Below are 20526 nucleotides of genomic sequence, written 5' to 3'. Positions count from 1 at the left end.
TGTTTTATTCTACCAAAAGACGAAAAGGAAATATTAAAACAATCAAGTAAAGAAAAAAATTCACAACTGGCATTTTTACTGTTGGACAATTTGGTAGAAGAAAAGATTAGGAGATTGCATGCCAGTTCCAATACTAACTAGTTACATAATCCTAGATATATTCCTTATCTCTTTCAACCTCAGTTAATACATAGAAAGCTACTGGCACATGTGTGGCACACAGTAGGTTCTTGAGGAAGGTTACTCTTTCATTCCTTTTTACTATTTTATAACTAGCTCTGGGAGGCTTAGATATCTGTAGAGATTTTCACATAAGCAAACCAGGTTGATTAGCCAATAAGAACTCAAAGGAAAAGACTTGACTTGCTCTCTCTCAATATCTCTCTCTCTTTACCCCCCTCCTATTTCTCTCTCTCTTTCCTCATGACCAAAAGATGTTTCTGATTAAAATATTGGGAAATACATTATTTCCTAATTTTCTGATAAAGTGATTAAGATCCATTTAATAACTCTGAAATGTTCAATCAGTGTTTGAGAGGGCCCTGACCATTTCCTACTCTGTACAATAACTGATGACAACCACTCATTATGAGCCAGATTACAAGTACATCATCAAGTGCCACGGCTGATTAGTGCTTCTAATTATGTCCATTTAATAAATTATAAGGATGACAATAACAAGAGGCTACTCAGAGCAGATTCACCTGTTAATATGTAGCCTAAATCTTTCAATACAGATATGATAAAGATGGCATAGATTCATCCATGCTGCCAGTGGACTTCTCAAATTCTTTTTTTTTCTTTTTTTAAGAAAAGAGAACCTAGATATATTTAGGGAACATCAAGACCTCAAAAGTAAACAGATTTAGGGACTACCTTCCACAAATAGTAAATGCAAGTTATTAAGAGAGGGGACACAAATGAAGGGGAACTCAGAATACAAAACACGCTTTGGAGGGAGCTACATGGCACCACTGACCTGAAGTCAATAGAGGCAGAACTGGAGTCTAAATACATTCAAGGTTTACTCTTCTTGTGAAGTGGCCAAAGTAAATAAGCCCAGAGTTGAGTGGAGGAAGAAGCAGGGGCCAACCACTAGACAGACGCAACTCCAAGGAAAGAAGCAGGAAGAGCAAAGAGACCCTGGAACAGACAACCAGGGCCTCGCTAAGCAACCTGAGATCTTTCCATTTTCTTCATTCAGGAATAATCCCTGAATTTCCTCCAAGTAGTGGCAGTTTTGCGATTTATTCAAGTGAATTCCTTTGGGCTGGACATCAACAGATGGGTCACTGGGGGCAGGCAGGTGGCAATAAAAGGAAAGAGGAAAAGCTGAGAATGTTTCAGGAGGAAAAAAACATCTGTTTTGCCTACTACTGTATCCCGAGTATCTAGAACACCCCCCTTGTAAATGGTAGGCACTCAAAACGTACTTGTTAAATGCATAAATCAATCTCTGTACAATATCTTTAACTAGAAAAAGAAAATAAAGAAGAAAATTCTCCCCTTTCTCTTTCAAGAATCAAAGGACAGGAGTTTTAGATTCAAAGTCTTTTATTTCTTGCCACATGACTGCCCATCTCTCCCCAGGCTGCTTCCCAGCTAAACACAGCCCCTAGTGATTGATCGAGCTACAGAGAAGTCTGGAGCTTTCTACCCATGCTCTGCCATTCTTATAAGTTAAATATGGCTTATGTTTATGTACTGCCAAAATAAGTGATGAGTTTAATTGAAGAGGAGAATTCATGCCTTTGCTAGGATTATACTTCTTAAAAAATGGCAAAACCTCTAATTCTTGGAAGATTCCAGTTTTCTACTAAGAACAACAACAATCACAAAACATAAGTACATTATACCACGCTCAAAGAGTCTTGTATCCTCCGGTCCTTTATGTTTAAATCAGAAAGTAATGTCTCAGATGCTGATTATAATAAAATACACACGTGTAAACGATTGCCATCTTTTTATGAGGCAAATGTGATTTATGAATGGCTGTAACACTGATTAGAGAACATAACAGATGGTAAACAATTAATTGAAAATGCTATGTCTATCAAACAAATCTTTATCATATAATTCTTCATGAAGACTATTGTTTATTTAAATGAGATTTTATTACTACAGTAGGAGTTAGCATGAAAAACATTTTCCAAATTTTTACCCAATCGATGGGCTTACTCAGCTGGCTCGTTGTATTTTAGAAAAGTTGAAGACTAGATGCATTATATTCATACAGATATTATAGAACTTTAATTTGTGAAAAATCACATTACTGCTCTGTAGTTAAGAACACCGGAAAAGAAAGTAACATTATATTTTTCTGCGCTTTTTCATGCATTACAACTTTACTAATCTAATTTGGACTTGAGAAGCTAATGAAATTATTGTCGTGGTCTATAGGCCTGAAAGCAATTACTTATACTTCAAATTTTTATATGAAAATTAAAAAGACAAAGTCTAATATTGCCTAGACACCTTCTCCCTCGGTGTTAGGAAATCAGTGAACTGTTTATGATTCCATTATGCAGCGTGGTATTTCAGTGAAGAAAGAGCAACAATAAAGAAAAAAGCAAAGAGTTATAAACATATTCAATTACTGTGTGAATTATTTTAAAATCGAAGAAAATGAAAATAAAATGTTGTTTCTATTGAATAGCTACAAATACTAATTATTACGGAAGTAGTTTAAGATAGTACACTATGGCAGTTAAGAGCATCAAGTTTTGTGACATAAGCCTTAGTTTGTATTTTGGCTCTGTCACATAGAAGACAGTATGCCTCTAAGCCTCTCAGACTCTCAGTTTCCTCATCTGTAGAATGGGTGGTAAGTATTCACCCTTCAAGGAATTATTATGAGAATGCAATTAAACAAGGTAGGTAAGTTTCTTGGCACAGTGTGTGGCACATGGTCAGCACCTGTGAAATTCTGGCTTGTTGGGAATGTCTGCATTTACTACCATTTTTCACTTTCCCCTTCCTTTATGGGATTGGATTCTTCCTCCATTTAGCATGATATTATGAAGAAGGTCTGCCAATCCTAGCAGTCCCTGAGTCCCATGTTACTCGGGCCAAGTCAACCAGAGCCCTCTCCTGGAATATTCTGGATCTAAAGAAGGGTGAGCCCTTCCTGGTATGAGGTTGTGAGCTATACAGTCATAGGAAAGCTAAGAAAATGAAAACCTGTACAGAGAAGCAGAGAAGAAGACATGGAGAAAAGCCTTCTGGGTGGTATTCCAGTCCCTGTGGTCAGCTACGTCTCTACCGTGGCTCGGTTATGGAGGCCAATGCCTTCCCCTTCATGCCTACACTTAGGGAAGCTGTGTGCCTGTCATTTACAATGAATGAGGCTCCAATTAATAAAGTTGTTAGTGAGGAAAACAAAAGCCCTGGGAGAAAACACCCATTAGTTTTACTAGCCCAGTTACTTCTATTAACTAATGTGTAATTTGTCCTCATTTTATTACATACAAGAAAATAATGTTGTAACCTTAAGTTATATGGAGAATATAAAAGTAACTTCTACTAAACTATATAATAATTTCAAATCTTCACTCATTTAATAACTATGAAATTGTATTTGCATAAGTTTGCTAATACTGGCATAAAGTGGACTGACATAGTGGACTGAATATGTCACTTATAAATTCTTCGTTGTATCACAAAATATATGAGATTTTACAGGGAAGAAAAATAGTCTTAATACTTGGCTTTCTAAAATATCAGGAAATATTTAAAAATTAAACAGTATACCCTGAGTTAAATATTACATACCATATTATGTACTAAATATACATAGCCATCTGTCAAAGGACCAAAGAGGAAAACATTAACCCATACATACTTTTTCATCTGAAAAATTATTATTAACTATTCATCACATATACATTCATACACAACTATATAAAGTTGTATATGCACATACACACATACACAACTATACCCACTATACTCAACTATACATGCACAAATAGACTAAATTAAGTAATAGCTGGGTTTTTCTATGATTATTAATAAAATATTTAAATTAAGCAAAATTGACTGCTCCAGGCTGAAACAGAAATGATATTCAGGCAGCTTAAATAAAATAGTAGTTGTAGTAACAGTAATTCTTTAACTGGAATAATTTTTAAAGATGATTCCTGAGGAAACTGGTGGATAAATAATGCAATCTCTTTTTTAATCTAAAAATATCACAAGAAGAGGACAGGTGTTTTCTCCATACATATGTATACAATGAATTGTGTAATTTTCTAAACACATTTAGAGGTGAGATAGCCTATAAAATTGTTAGCAGTTTTATTTAGTGATTGATACCTTAGCTTTAAATCATAAAGTATGTTTGGTGGGGGGTGCTTGTGCATGTGCGTGCCTGCCTGCCTGCATCTGTATGTGGTATGGAGAGAGGAAGACCGACAGAAGGCTCCAACTCCCCTGTGCAGATCTGACTTTTAAACTGAACTGAAGGTAATGAACAGGAGAGAAGGCACAAATATTCCCTAATTCCCTCTGGAGGTTTGGGGGTAGGGGTGGGTGAAGGCTGTTGTCTTGCACAGCTTCACTGTGCAGCAGTGTGGTTCACACAGGAATTCTGATCTGGTACTGAGAACAGCCAGGGGAGGCTGGCAGCACAAGGGAGAGACCAGAAAACATGGATGCAAGTTTAAGAGGCTCTAGACATTGAGATCAAGGAGGAGCTAGGAAGTTAGGGGCCAGATGGCCGTCAGTGAACACAGATAGAGGAGATAAAATCGAAGGGATGAGTCAAAAGCCAGCCAAAATCCAGAGGTTAAGGAAGTCATTGTCATAGACGCATAGGGCTCTGTTCTTGCATCTACCTTTCGTTAGCTGGATGACTTTGGTCAGCACCATAATATCTTCTTGGCCTTTGTGTTTTTATTTTTAAAAAAAATCATACTGTATGATCGGCTCAACTCATTGGGATAGACAGGAGAATGAATATGAAAGTTGCTTGGAAAGTACAAAGAACAATGCAAAGGATGAGAGATTGTTGTACTGTGATACTTTCTAACACATACAAACTAGGGATTAAAATAAAAAAAAAAAACAGTTCAATTGCATTAAAAGGAAAAAGTATACATTGACATGATACAAATTAAATGAAATTAAGTATTTCCATATTGCTCAAACAAAAGTCAGGGACTACTGACAAAGTTGTGAACTTGGTAAAATTTCTACAAGGATTCAGATAATTTTAGTTCAGCTAAAAATCATATTTACTTAATAGCCATTTATAAGCAGAAATCTGAGTAGTTGAGTTTTCCAAAGAGCTACATTTTACCCATTTAGCCCTATTTTTTTATGGTTACCATTTTGGAAGAAAATTTACTAAAATATAATATAAATTCCTATGCCTTCTCTTAACTGATTTATATTCTGTCTTCAGAAATACACACACCATAATTCACAGCTTCAGTTTTCTTTTACTGTTGAAAGTCCCAAAGACTACCTCGTTTTGTTTTATTTTAGGATTCTTGCATATCTTTTTATCATTTCTTTCTCCTCATTGCTGTCAGACAGCTGGAGTCATTTCTTACCATTAATCTTTGTCCCTGTCCTGTCACTTCATTTTGCTACTTACCCATCACTCACCGGACATCAAGTTCATACAGTCGCACCAGTGTCTACAGCAGAAGTTAATACCTCTGAGAAGTACTTCAGTGGCTTTCCCATGATCTAAGAAAAGGATCTGCACTATGTTTTCCATACAATCTCTATCCTGGCTGCTCAGATCATTTTTTTACACTCTTTCAGACTCTCCATCAATGAGGGTAATCACTAAAAAAAGAGGGAAGGGCCAAGCTTCAGACACAGACATTGGAAAACACAGTGAGAGAGACCACAGGGTGCCAGGGAATCATGGCAGAGAGCTCGGGAAGGGAAAGCGTCCAGGAAGACACAAAGCCCCAGCAGAGCCGGCAGGATGACCAGCAGCTGCGTGGGCAAATGAGGCAAGCGTTGGAAATCAGGTCAGAGGACCTACAGGCAGAAAACTGGGATGGGCAATGGGGCAAAGGCAAGGAAGACCACTACCTGCAGAATGTAGTGAGGAGCCTGGCTCCCAGCAAACCTCAAGAGTGGAGTGAAGAGAGGCACAAGGTGGGGCCGGATGGAAAAGCTGAGGACAAATTGCTGTGCAGCCTTCTGTGCCAGGTGGAGGAGCTCAGATCCCATGGCATGCACTACGGGCAGTTTTTATCTCCAGGAAACCTCATGCCAGGTTTGTGCTTTAGGTTTATCATTTTAGGATTTATGTTAATGGAGAAATGCCAATTAAGAATATATTGAAATAGGCCTAGCATAAGATTGGTATGGAGGAAACTAATGTGGAATGGTCAATTAATAGTGATTTTTAAATACTTAAAAATACATACAACAGTATAAGATAATTAGTAATGGAAAAAATTTAAAGGAACTGGAAGAAAAAAAGGCATTGGAGATAAAAATCATGGAGGAAAGTGTTTTCTAGAATGGTTACCTAAAAGAAAAGAGGTGACTCCATCTTGGTATGTCCTTATAGCATGGTACACATCACATACTCACAAAATGCTTATTAAATAGAACCGAAAAAAATCACTTGATTTCTTCCTGATCTAACCTCTCCAACATTGAGTACTTCGGCATCAAACAGGATAACTAATGTTCAAATGCTTGCTACTTCTAATAGCAGATGTACATAAGTCATGGTAAACAACAAAAGTATAAAAGCTATTATGGATAGTTTTCTTCGATTTATTTTTAACAAGTAAAACCAGCCATTGTTATAGAAAATAGTATCAGGAAAGGAGGCAGTATGAAAATTGCTAATCATAAACAAACAACAACAAAAAAAACCATAAAGTTAAATTGACATGACTTCTTTTTTTCTTGTCCCCCCAAATGTAGTATTAAAAACATGGAGCTTAAAACATCCTGAATGTCACAGTAAAATAAGAACTCAAAAACCAGTATTTTTTTTTTCTGTGTATCTTTCTAGACATTTTATTAGGGATTTGAAACATGTGTGCCCAAATGACTTCCTCACCAACACTATGAATGACGCATGACTAGAATGTTCATGAAACTTTTTTTTAAATTATACAATATCGTTTTAACCCTTAAATGACTGACCACTGAGAAGAGTCCAGAATAATGTGGCGTTTTAGTGATGTAACACTTTGTACTGCTTTAAAGTAGCTTTTTATAAACTTCGCAAAGTCCTAGGGAAGAAAGGAGACAAGAAAAGCTGACTGAAGGTAGATTTTAAATTGGATAAGATGAGACAAGTGAACTTCTTATTTTTTTCCCCAAGCTTAAAAAAACAAAACTGTACTAGCACCTTCTTTCTTGTTGTATGAAGTTACAATGTTCTGCCTGACTTTCCAGGTCCTCTGTAGGACCTTTCCAGGTCCTCTGAACCATTCAGCACATACAACCATCTCATCCCCATCTGCCGTCCAGGCACAAGACTCTGGCAACCAGGCCAGGCTGTCTACTGACTCCCCAAAATACAGCTGCTCTTTCCTTATGGCTGAGCTGTTCTGCTAAGGATTCTGTCCCCAGCATGGCCATTCCTCTTTCCCGAACTTAATCACTTCCTACCTGTCCATACCCCTAAGACTAGCTCAGGAATCAACCTCTCTCCACTCTGACCCTCAGAGTCCTTCTCTCCTGGAATGCCCGCATCACTTAGAATCCTCAGGACACAACTGAGTGCATGACTACGGACACTTTTACATTGCTTGCTTTCTCACGCTCTGTGCTAGTTTTGATCTCCCACTAAATTGAAACCTCAGGAACATGCGTTATACTTCTTTATCCATCTTGGACAGTGCTCAGCTCATGCGTATTCTTTCAAACACTATGTAATAAGCACTTACTATGTGCCAGATAGTATTCTAAATATTACAAAATACAGCAGTGAAAAAAAAATAACCCTCTGTCTTCAAGGAGCTTACATCTACAGGGAGTGGAACGAAAGGGACAATAATAAGAGACCAGGTCAGAAATGTAACATGGCACCCCCTGGCATACAGTCTGTGAGCCATTATAAGAATCTGACTTCTCTGAGTCACATGACATGACTTATATATTCAAATGGTCCTTACAGCTATTGTGTTGGAAATCTCTAATAAGGGAGCAAAGGCAGAGCAGGCAGATGAGTTGAAGGAACCTGCAATCATCCAAGGGGTAGTGGGGGCTTAGACCAGGAAAGCATAGTAGACGTGGTGATAAAGGATCATATTCTAGGTACCTTTTGAATGTAGTGATGACAGGACTTGCTGACAGAATGGATTTGGGTGACAAAAGGACAAAGGAGCCAAGAGCGGCCCAGTGGATTTTAGCCCGAGCAACCCAGAAGACGGAGGAGCATGAGGTAAGATGCAAAGACTGATGGAAGAATGGACTCAGGGTGACGGGAGGGGGCAGGGGCTTCTTGACAGATATAGGAAAGGAATTTCGTAAATGTTGAGTGCTCATTCTAGAAAAGTTGGGGTTTATTTCCATTTCATCTTAAAAATCAATAATCCAATTACTCTACTGCTGATAATATCAGTTTCTCCCATCTACAGTTATTCTTTATAGACTCAAGATTGTGAGGAAAAGCAAGTACTGATGAGTTCAACTCTTTCAAAGAATTCTCTACAGTTTCGGCTTGTTTCCTTTTTTGAAAATTTTTGTGGGTACACAGTAAGTGTATACATATTTACGGGGTACATGAGACATCTGGGCTCATTTTCCTTGTTGTTAAATATGGTGATGGCGGCCAGGGGAGGGGTGAGAGAGGAATCATTGTTAAGCATCTAGCTCATAAAAATGTTCTTGTAATAGGTTGTATATGAAGTCAGAATAATAAATAAATGAATTTCTTTATACCTCTTATTTACTCAGGTAGTCATGTACTCTTCATCAAACTTTTATTGAGTACCTGATATATACAGGCATTGCATAGGTTATAAAATGCTCAAAACTGGATTCCTCAACTTAGGGCAAGTAAGAAAATTTTAACATCTGAAAATCAATACAAACAATAGCTGCATATGTTAGATATCCAACAGGACTGGGCTGAGACCTGAGCAGTTCATTTTTCCTCGATGGACCTCAGTTTTCTCATCTGTTAAGTGAATAGCCTTGGACTAGTTCATCTCTAAGGCTCTTAACCATTCTAATATTGTATATGAAGGACATAAGCAAGCCTTAAAATGTTCTTTTGAAAGAACTTCAAAAGATGGAAGAAGGGAAGGTAGCACATCCATGACAAGACAGTTCCAAAATCATTCAAGGAAGTAGATAGTATAGATTGGTTATGGAACTATAAAAATGGTAGTAAAAAATTTGTTGAAAAATCAGGAGGGCTTCAATTACAAAGTTTTTTTTTTTTTTTTTTTTGAGATGGAGTTTCACTCTGTCACCAGGCTGGGTTGCTATCTCAGCTAACTGCAATCTCTGCCTCCCGGGTTCAAGCGATTCCCCTGCCTCAGCCTCCTGAGTAGCTGGGACTGCAGGCATGCACCACCACACCTGGCTAATTTTTTGTATTTTAGTAGAGACGGGGTTTCACCGTGTTAGCCAGGATGGTCTCCATCTCCTGACCTCATGATCCGCCTGCCTCGGCCTCCCAAAGTCCTGGGATTACAAGTGTAAGCCACCGCGTCCGGCCAAAAGCAGTATGTTTTCCAAATGGCAGTAATGTACAAGGATTGTGTTCCATTTGATCAAATGTGCTATATTCAAAATAGCCCTAAGCTCAGCAAATGATATCTTCAGAGTGCAACATATGTGCACAGAAATCACATTTGTGTGCTTTAATCAGTAGTCTCAATTATATGCCTAATTGCTGCATGTTTGCATTCAAGGTGATGATCCAAAGATTTTTAAAATAAATATTATGCTAGGCTGGGCACGGTGGCTCATGGCTGTATTCTCAGCACTTTTGGAGACCAAAATGGGAAGATGGCTTGAGCCCAGGAGTTCATGACCAACCTAGGCAACACAATGAGATTCCATCTCTACAAAAACTTTTAAAAAAGATAGTCTGTGGTAGTCTCAGCTACTCAGTAGGCTGAGGTGGGAGGATTGATCACTTGATCCTGGGACGTTGATGTGCAGTGGGCCGTGATTTCACCACTACACTCCAGCCTGGACAACAGAGCAAAACCCTGTCTCAAAATAACATAACATAACATAACATAACATAACATAACATAACATAACATAACATAACATAACATAACATAACATGACATAAAATGAAACAATAAATGTCATGCTGGAGGCCAAGATTTTTTTTCAGTATGCAATGGAAAGTCAAGAAAGATGTATAATCAGGGGAGAAACACGAATATGATTACATGATAAGATTTACTTATCAGTAGTAGACTAAAGTGGAAGAGAGAGAATATATGGGCAAATACTACGTGTTGCACACAGATGACAGAACAATGCAATGGGACCAATGCTACCAAAAGTAGCAACAGATTCTGCCTAAAACTATTCTAAGTCTACACACAAAAGGCTGAGAATGTGGAATTAATGGCAGTATGTGTGTGCACATGAGTATGTACGTGTGTGTGTATACATTTTTTATATATATATATGTGTATATATATATATGTGTGTATATATATATATATGTGTGTATATATATATATATATATGTATATATATATATATATATATATAAAACAGAGTACTCAAAAGGAATAATTCTTCAAAGATAGAAATAACAAATATAAGGCTGAGTGTAGTGGCTTACGTCTGTAATCCCAGCACTTTGGGAGGCTGAGGCAGGCAGATCACCTGACGCCAAGAGTTCAAGACCAGCCTTGCCAACATGGCAAAACCTCGTCTCTACTAAAAATATGAAAACTAGCTGGGCGTGGTGGTGGACACCTGTAGTCCCAGCTATATGGGAAGCTGAGGTATGAGAATTGCTTGAACCTGGGAGGCAGAGATTGCAGTGAGCCGAGATCGCACCACTACACTCCAGCCTAGGTGGTAGAGTGAGACTCTGTCTCAAAAAAAAAGAAAAAGAAAAGAAATAATAATTATGAGTGATTTGTAGACCACTGGATTTGGTGAAAAGTGGAAGACTCAACAATGACTTAGCTTTGTAGGAGGCTAACTGGAAAGACAGTGTTACCACCAGCAGAAAACAAAAAGAAATGCTAGACAAGTTAAGTGTGCTGTGTGTGTGTGTACATGTGTGTATATACACACACACATATATACAACTAGTTTCAGAGAGTCAAAAAGATTATGGTCTTGATGGGAAATTTATTCGGACTGAAGAAGGTTCCTTGAGTAAGATTCAGTAGGAAAACGGCTACCTGTCCATATGTCTGATCCAGTTCCAGTTATAGTCAAAGAAAGCATTTTCTAACTATGCTTCCCTTACAAGTAATAAATGTTCATGATTTACACTGCTGGACACAGCATGAGGCAATCTTTCAGGTTTGCTGTTACTATGTGAAGTGAATGATGAAAAACGATTTTGAATGGCATGTTTATTTTTAAAAATGCATCAGAATGATTTTATTGTCAGCAGTGAAAAATCACAATACAGATATATATTGGACCCAGAATTCATTACACATTTTCTCTTAAGTTTACTATGTGATATATTGCTATTTGTTAGTAGGGTAGTTACTATTTCAATTTTAAGCTAAAGTATATAAATGTTACAGGTTATTTTTAAATTAAACAAATGTTGTCTGCTTGTAAAAGAAAAGTATTTGGTCTCTCATTTTTAAAAGTAACCTTACATATAGATATTTAAATATTTTATATATTTACTATTATATTTTAATAAATGTCTTCTACTTGCAATTATTTATCACATAACATGTTTAAATATAAGAAATATATATTTTTTGCTAGTAAATTTGCTAGTAAGGTAGTTATTATTTAAATTTTAAGCCAAAGTAAATAAACACACAGGGTATTATTTTTAAATTAAAGAAATGTTGTCTGCTTGTAAAAGAAAGGACTTTGGTGTGTCATTATCAAAAGTAATCTTACTTATAGACCTTGAAATATTTTGTATATTTATTATATTTTAATAACTTTCTACTACTTGCAATTATTTATCATGTAACTTGTTTAAATATAATATAAATTTTTATTTCTTATAGAAATTACTTTTATAGTTACAGTACACTTTTTAGACAATCTATTTTTTCTGCAGTTAATTTCCTTTAAAATTGATATTGAGGTATACAAAAATTTTATTTTCTTAATTTAAGAATCTAGATATCTGTGAATTAATGACATATTTGAATAAAGTAACACTTAGAAGAAAAGATTTAAATATTAGATCCTAAAATGCTGTAAGGAAATTTCCTACTTGATTTTGGGTTTTTTGTTCTCCTAGCATGTGTTTTTATGATGTAGTGGAGAAACCAGTCTCACCTGTTTTTGATTGTAGGTTTCTTCTTGGCTCTTCAGGGGCCTCAATTGGCTGATCAGCCAAGAAAACTCGGGCCTGGTCGACAGCATTCAGGACAGAATATTCTTTCTCCTTTAACTCCCGTCTCAGGGCCTTTCAAAAGAGAAGCAAAAGTTGAGTTTGTAACCTCACGTGTTCACCAAATTATGGGACATCTTCAACTATACCACTTCTGACCACACTTAGCAAGAAAATGACTAATAGCAAGCATTTCAGCTAAGTTAGAAGCCAAAATGTAAATTTTATAGATATGAATGAAGAAAAATACAAAGGAAAAAAGATAATTTCTGTAAACGTTAAGTATACAAAAAAAGAAACAGCTTTAAAATATTCACTTAAGGGAAATTGTTACAGTGTATTTGAATTTACACAAAATGTACTTTTAGGATTTTCACTGATGTCAGATTGATAAAATATAATAGCCTTTGCTAAGATACTTTTTTCTTGTAAGACTGACTGACAAAAAAATTACATCCAATGATACAGAGAAAGGTAATTTCACAAGTAGCAATAAGATCCTCAGAAGGGTTTTACATTATTTAGAATACATTAAGAAAAAAAAATGAAGCGATAGAAACAAAGTACATACATGAAATCAAAAATAAACCAATGAGGGCACATATAAAACAGTCTCCAATTATCTTAAAATATGTTCCATCTCTCATGCTGAGGCAATTACTATTTTTCTTTTGTGAGGTTTTTCATGCAAATCTATGATTCTCAGAATAGTTTCTCTTTAGCACCTTTGTTCCTTGAAGTGGAGCTAAACTTTCACCCCTGCACCTATAAAAACAACCAAACTCCTTCAGTGACTGCTGCAAGATAAGAGTAATGAAGATTTTCCCAGGTGCAATTTTAACGCTGTTGCCAAATGGAATTTGTTAATGTTGTTATCCTCTTAAAATTAAACACATAACCACCTACTGGCTCTAGTATTTTGCCTTCGGTGTAGTTCCCTGGCAACCTATTATGAAAAGTCAGACTTTTATTTTCTAAAATACTGAACTTTCATTATATGTTAGAATGAATAAAATCTTTCCTTTTGAAGACAACTAAATTTTTAGTAGTATTTGACATCACTATGTTGAGATGCTACAGTATTTGCAGGCTAGATCCTTTTCTTCCATAGTCAATAAAAGGTAAGAATGAAAAAATCTAGAAATACCAGAATAATTATCTTATATAAAAATATGGATCTAAGCAACATACACACAAAAAAACCCTGGTAATGAAGCTGACAGAGACTAATGGGCTACATTTTCTATATCCAGAAAATCTCATGATAGCCTTTAGGAAATCTAAAGATTCAAGGAGGATTTAGCAGTAAATCAAGAGTAGAGTGCTTGATTGAATAAGGCCATGAAGCATGCACACGCCACCCGTTACCCTCCTCAAGTACTACTCTAGAAACCACTATTACTGATAATTTTCCTACTCGTGTATAGAGGAGATAAGTCATAACATGGTAAGCATACTGGAAAGTGTGCTTGGACTAACCAAAGTGTAGCTTAACCCTCACAGGTGGGGAGGGATGAGAAGAGCTGACAAGAACTAGTGAGAGACGGAGTGACAAAAATGCTATTTTTTTGTGTGTAAGCATTGTAAATATTATTTTGATTTTTAAACTATACAATTATTACTTTGATAAAAAATTTAAATGAACGAGCAAAGTGAACCAAAAAATCCACAATTAAGATATAGTGATGTAACACAGGATATAGGATAAAATAAAACTTTCTCTAAAATGCAAAGGTACATTTATATGTCCTTCCTAGATCCATAAAACCAAAGACTGACAGCGAAGCAAGCACAAATCAACTAAATTCACACAGCAATTATCACTGATGAGCATTAAATGACTATGTTGGTGGGTGGGGGCGGGGATAACAAACCTTCCATCATCTCCTATTTAACAAACGCAGCTTGTGAAGAAATCGCAGGATGTGTGACATTCAGGAAATTAAAAAAAAAAAAAGATTATATACATCTGGCACTTAAAGTTTTAATATATGGAAATAAAAAGAGATACAAGAAAAATGGAAAAAAAAAGATTTTTAATCCAAAAAAATACACATTTACAAGTCTTGAGCCAGTTCTTTAACTTAGATTATTATGTTGTTAGAGCAAGAAGCTCTAGAGGAATAAAAATATTCCTAGCATTTACTTCCATAATCACCTAAAAATATATAATAACGACATGAAAAATCATGTTACTTAAAAAATAGTGAAAACCAGCAGGTAATATAGCAAAATTATTTTTTTTAATTTTAGTGGTCAAGATATTTCCAAAATCCAAATCAAATCAGTAAATATGGGAGCAGTAAACATTCCTTTTTTTTTTTTTTTTTTGAGATGGAGTCTTACTCTGTCACCCAGGCTGGAGTGAAGTGGCATAATCTTGGCTCACTTGCAACCTCTGCCTCTCAGGTTCAAGTGATTCTCCTGCCTCAGCCTCCCAAGTAGCTGGGATTACAGGTGCCTGCCACTGCACCCAGCTAATTTTTCTACTTTTAATAGAGATGGGATTTTACCATGTTGGCCATGGTTGGCCAGGCTGGTCTCAAACTCCAGACCTCAGGTGATCCACCTGCCTTGGCCTCCCAAGTGCTGGGATTACAGCTGTGAGCCACCACACCCAGCAAGGAGTAGTTTGTTGGGTTTTTTTGTTTGTTTGTTTTGTTTTTTGAGACAGAGTCTCGCTGTGTTGCCCAGGCTGGAGTGCAGTGGTGCGATCTCAGCTCACCGTAACCTTCACCTCTACCTCCTGGGTTCACGCCATTCTCCCGCCTCAGCCTCCTGAGTAGCTGGGACTACAGGGCCCCATCACCACGTCTGGCTAATTTTTTTGTATTTTTAGTAGAGATGGCATTTCACTGTGTTAGCCAGGATGGTCTCGATCTCCTGACCTTGTGATCCGCCCGCCTTGGCCTCCCAAAGTGCTGGGATTATAGGCATGGGCCACCACGCCTGGCTCAGGAGTGGTAAAGATTCTTAAAATGCTGTGCAAGGCCTGTGCTAGATTTCTTCCTGGGGAAGGGGAAGTTCCAGGAATGTACAGATTTAATGCAAGCCACTGAAGAGAAGATGAAGATCTTAGAACAGGTCTTCACTCTGGTTTATCAAATAGGAGGAAGAATTCACACAATGGCATTTAGAATTTAGCACAAAAGATCAACCAGAAAACACCAATAGGCAATAATGTGGAAAGATTAAAAACTGAGAGAAGACGGGACATAAAGGCAAATGACTCAGAGAAGGAAGAGCAGAGGCAGAACTGGCCCTCTGGAAATATAAAACTATTACGGGGCATATATTTTACAGGCAAATCCAGATCTTTTGTTGGAGAAAGAAGACAATATGATCTGTGCAACTTAGGTGTACAGTAATTTCTGATTAGGAATTCTAGACTATTAATAGTCCACAAAATGTGCATTGTGCAGGGGTGTGGGGAGGGAAGAGGGCAAAGGAGAGATTTGTCTTGGAACTTCTTTTTAGATTTCAAAAATTGAAATGGAAATATGTACATATTGGTCTATAGAAAGGATACTTTGGAAAACCAACCTATCAACTTCCTTTATGGATGGAATTTTATTTGTTTAACATGGAGACTCTCACAATAGAGTAATCTCTTTGGCTGTCTGTTTGCTCTGCCTGGAAAGCTCTTTCCCTAGATTTAGCCATATCACAGATTCCCTCATCCTTTTTAAGGCTGTCTAGAAGGTGAGGCCCACCCACCTACCTTATTGAATGTAGCATTCCACCTTTCTCATCCCCTACATTTCCCATTCTCATTATTCTGCTTAACTATCTTTGTATTTCCTAGACCTGGCACCTTCTACTATGCAAAAGAGGTGACATTTCTATATTTCTTGTTTAGTCCCTCTCTTAGATAAAATATAAGCTCCACTAGACCAGGGACTTTTTCTGTTTTTGTTCAGCATGGTAAACAAAGCACCCAGACTAATGCCATGTCTGGGACCTAGTAGAGCCTTGGGGGATCTGTAATGCTTCCTGGGGGAGGTGGTGCGTAAATTGAGTCTTGCAGAGAGGGAAAGGTACTCCCAGCAAAGGAAACTAAACACTAGCAGAGAATGCAGGAGTGTCACAGTGTGCGCCCTCAGGGAACTATAAAAACTTCAGTACTCAGAGAGCGGTAGCAGCTGAAGCTGAAGGTGTGGGCGGAGGTCAGGCCACAAAGACCACTGCACTGCTTCCTATGCACTGAGACTCACTCAACCCAATCATGGGCTATGGGAAGCCACTGACAAGTTGGGGGGTATTGTCAGATTTTTATTTTTGTTTTTTATAATGTATCATTGTCAGGTCTCCTGGATTCATTAAAAGCAAGTCTGAGTCTTAGATTGTATTTTGCTTCCTAACCACATTAAACTCCGTGCTTCAGAAAACAAAAAAAAAAGAAAAAGAAATCCTCTCTGCGCAGGGTGCTGGCTGGAGAATGTCTCGCGAACTCCTTTGATATGCCAATGTAGGGAAGTACAGGAGGCAAGCCTGGGCAGGTGGGAACCATGCCAAGTAAGTACAAATACAGGGCTCTGGCCCTCATGCCAATGCACCACCCAAATATCCTACAAAGCAGCATACATATGATAATTTCCATTCATATCCTGTTTTGTAAATTTAATTTTGTTATTCAATTTGTCCTATTTCAATTATATTTAATTGTATGTCAGAAATAGATTTAACTTTCAACAGTTTTATACATATAATCATTTCACACTTTAACTCTCTCAATTAGACATAAAAGAAAACCTGCATTTCCCAACCACCTGGTGAACATTAATGATAAGATCATTAGACTCCAATGAGCTGTTTTGTACACAGAGCTACAAAGTGGCATTCAGCTTTAAGTTCTAATATCACGTGACTGATATATGGGCCACCTTAAATGCATATAACATAATATAATTGGAATTTTTCTGTTTTAATGAGTTTATATTTTCATTCAAAACAGTTCTGTTCCAGATAATAACAACTTTTGGTGAGGATGTGAAGAAACAGGAACCTTGATGCTTGTTGGTGGAATGGTAAAATTGCAACCTGTATTAGTCCATTCTCACGCTGCTAGTAAAAACATACCTGAGACTGGGTAATTTACAAAGGAAAGAGATTCAATGGACTCATAGTTCCCCATGGCTGGGGAGGCCTCACAATCATTGCAGAAGACGAAGGAAGAGCAAAGGGACGTCTTACATGGCGGGAGGCAAGACAGCATGTGCTGGGGAACTCTCCTTTATAAAACCATCAGATCTTGTGAGACTTATTCCCTATCACAAAAACAGCATGGGAAAAACCTGCCCCCATGATTTAATTACCTCCCACTGGGTCCCTCCCATGACATGCGGGGATTATTACAATTCAGTGAGATTTGGGTGGGGACACAGAGCCAAACCATATCACAGCCACTCTGGAAATCAGTTTGGCATGTCCTCAAAATGCTAAACACAGAGTTGTCAACATGACCCAGCAATTCTACACATAGGTATATACCGAAGAAAAAGAAAAACATGTCCACATAAACACTCATACATGAATGTTTATAGTAGCCTTATTCATAATAGCCAAAAGATGGACACAACCCAAATATCCATCAACTGCTGAATGGATAAACAAAATGTGATATATCCATAATACAATGACATCTTATTCAGTAATAAAAATGAATGAAATACTGATATGTGCTATAACATGGAAGAATTTTAAAATCATGCTCATTGAAAGAAGCTAGACATGAAAGGGCATAGTGTAAGATTCCATTACCATGCAATGTCCCAAACAGGCAAGTCTAGAGAGGCAGAAAGTAGATTACTCGTTGCTTAAGGCTGGGGAACTGGGGAGGGAGGGGAGGGATAGGAGTGACTGCTTATGGGTATGGATGTTCTTTTTGGAATATAAAAAAGTTATGGGCCAGGCGCAGTGGCTCATGCCTGTAATCCCAGCACTTTGGGAGGCTGAGGCGGGAGGATCACAAGGTCAGGAGTTCAAGACCAGCCTGGCCAATATGGTGAAACCCCATCTCTACTAAAAATATAAAAATTAGCCAGGCGTGGTGGCGGGTGCCTGTAGTCCCAGCTACTTGGGAGGCTGAGGCAGGAGAATCACTTGAACTCGGGAGGCAGAGGTTGCAGTGGGCTGAGATTGCGCCACTGCACTCCAGGCTGGGTGACAGAGCGAGACTCCATCTCAAAAAAAAAAAAAAAAAAAAAAAAGTTATGAATCTAGATAGCAATAATGGTGCACAACTCTGTGAAAATACTAAAAGCCCCTGAATTGCACACTTTAAATGGGTAAATATTATGATACAGGAATACTATCTCAACAAGGTTATTATTAAAATAAAACAATAATTCTGTTTTTTACACAAAACAATTCTCTAGGTAATTTGTTTCTTTTTTTTCTTTCTTTTTTTTTTTTTTTTTTTTGAGATGGAGTCTCACTCTGTCGCCCAAGCTGGAGTGCAGTGGCATGATCTTGGCTCACTGCAACCTCTGCCTCCCGGGCTCAAGCAATTCTGCCGCCTTAGCCTCCCAAGTAGCTGGGATTACAGGCATGCACCACCATGCCTGGCCAATTTTTTTTTTACATACGTTTTTGTAGAAACAGGGTTTCACCATGTTGCCCAGGGTGGTTTTGAACTCCTGAGCTTGGGCAATCCACCCACCTTGGCCTCCCAAAGTGCTGGGATTACAGATGTAAGCCACTGCACCCAGCCTAATTTGTTTCTTTTCTAGTCTTTATCCCCAATGCATATGCAAAGTAAGAGCTCATTCTGTGTGTTCAGTATGTGCAATAACAAGATGGCTGCTCCCACCTCAGTGTTTCTAGAGCACTTCCTATTCCTCTAACAGAGCTTGTACTGTGTTAATGTGCATATATTTTGACCATGCATCTGTCCCCTCCATTAAATTGTGAGTTCTTGCATGGTAAGGTTCAGGTCTTAATCATCTGAAATCCTCTACTGTACCTGCCTAGACATATATAGAAAGCACTCAATAAATGCTTGAGCATAATAAATTATGGGAGAAATGCTCTCAGAATTAAATACTATGTATTTAATGTTACAAAACATGTCAGAGCAAGATATAACAAAGTCACCCAATCTGTTCATCTTAAACTGAAATAATGGATTTCAGTTAGTTCTGTATTTTTAAATTATCTACTTTGCAAATTGCTGGTAGTAATTTTTTGATGTAAAACTAAGTCTGTGCTATTAATAAGTATTTCAGTCTGCAGTTGGTTTTTATTTTAGTAATAGCAAATATCCTTTTCTCTTTTTAGATAAATAAGGAACTGATCTGACTGTCATGGATGGTATGGATTCACTCTGTCTTCCTCATTTTGTGACATTCTCACCCATGAGGTAACCCCTTAGGGCATGGTTTCCAAATTACTGTCAGTCATTAGAATTGAAGGGTGTTTCCATTATCATGACTGTGTATCAAACCTATATAAAACTTATAGCTTAAAACAATGACAATTATTTTTCATGATTGTGTGGGTTGGCAATTTGACCTGTTCTTTGGCTGGTACCACCTGGGATTACTAGTGAGGTTATAGTCATCCTGCAGCTTGGATGGGGAGGGCGGGACAAAACAGCCTCACTCACATGTCTGGAAATCATCACTGCCTATTGTCTGGGGTACCTCAGTTTCTCCCTATGTCGTCTCTAATTGCTCTCCAATATGGTACCTGCTAGTCACATATGTTTATTTAGTATCTGAAATATGACTAGTACAGCTGAGGAACTAAATTTTAAATTTTATCTAATTGTGATTTAAATACAAATGGTTACATATGTCTAAGGGTTCCTATGTTACACAGCAAAGCTCTAGAGTTTGCACATCACGGTGTCACAGTCTATTGTTTGAAGCATGTCATGAAGCCAGAACAGATTCAAGAGAATGGAAAAATGTACTTTATCTTTTGATGAAAAGAGCAAAAATTTCCCTCTGCATAGGAGTGTGGACACAGGGAGGCATGATTCATTACTATAAAAATCTACCACACAGGATGAGTGGGAGAGGATGGTGGGTTGAAGATGAGGGTTGGTAATATTTTGTGTA

General features: G+C 37.5%; 1 protein-coding gene across 2 annotated transcripts in view, besides 1 other annotated feature; it reads right to left on the bottom strand.

Moving 5' to 3' along the window:
- Window positions 1–20526, bottom strand: part of UTRN (utrophin) — a 567700-nt gene that overhangs the window by 110140 nt on the left and 437034 nt on the right. For both annotated transcript variants that reach the window (NM_007124.3, NM_001375323.1), the window contains one exon: window positions 12409–12538. In NM_007124.3, coding sequence (NP_009055.2) covers window positions 12409–12538 — 130 coding nt within the window. The remainder of the gene's footprint in view (window positions 1–12408; window positions 12539–20526) is intronic.
- Window positions 19251–19350: an enhancer, noted in NCBI's record as "active region_25222". NCBI's record gives its function as "activates an Ori minimal core promoter by ATAC-STARR-seq in GM12878 lymphoblastoid cells {active_cell/tissue: GM12878}" and the evidence as "EXISTENCE:reporter gene assay evidence [ECO:0000049][PMID:35858748]".

The sequence above is a fragment of the Homo sapiens genome, chromosome 6 (genome assembly GCF_000001405.40).
Source record: "Homo sapiens chromosome 6, GRCh38.p14 Primary Assembly".
NCBI lineage: Eukaryota > Metazoa > Chordata > Mammalia > Primates > Hominidae > Homo > Homo sapiens.
This window is presented reverse-complemented; position numbering and strand designations above follow the sequence as displayed.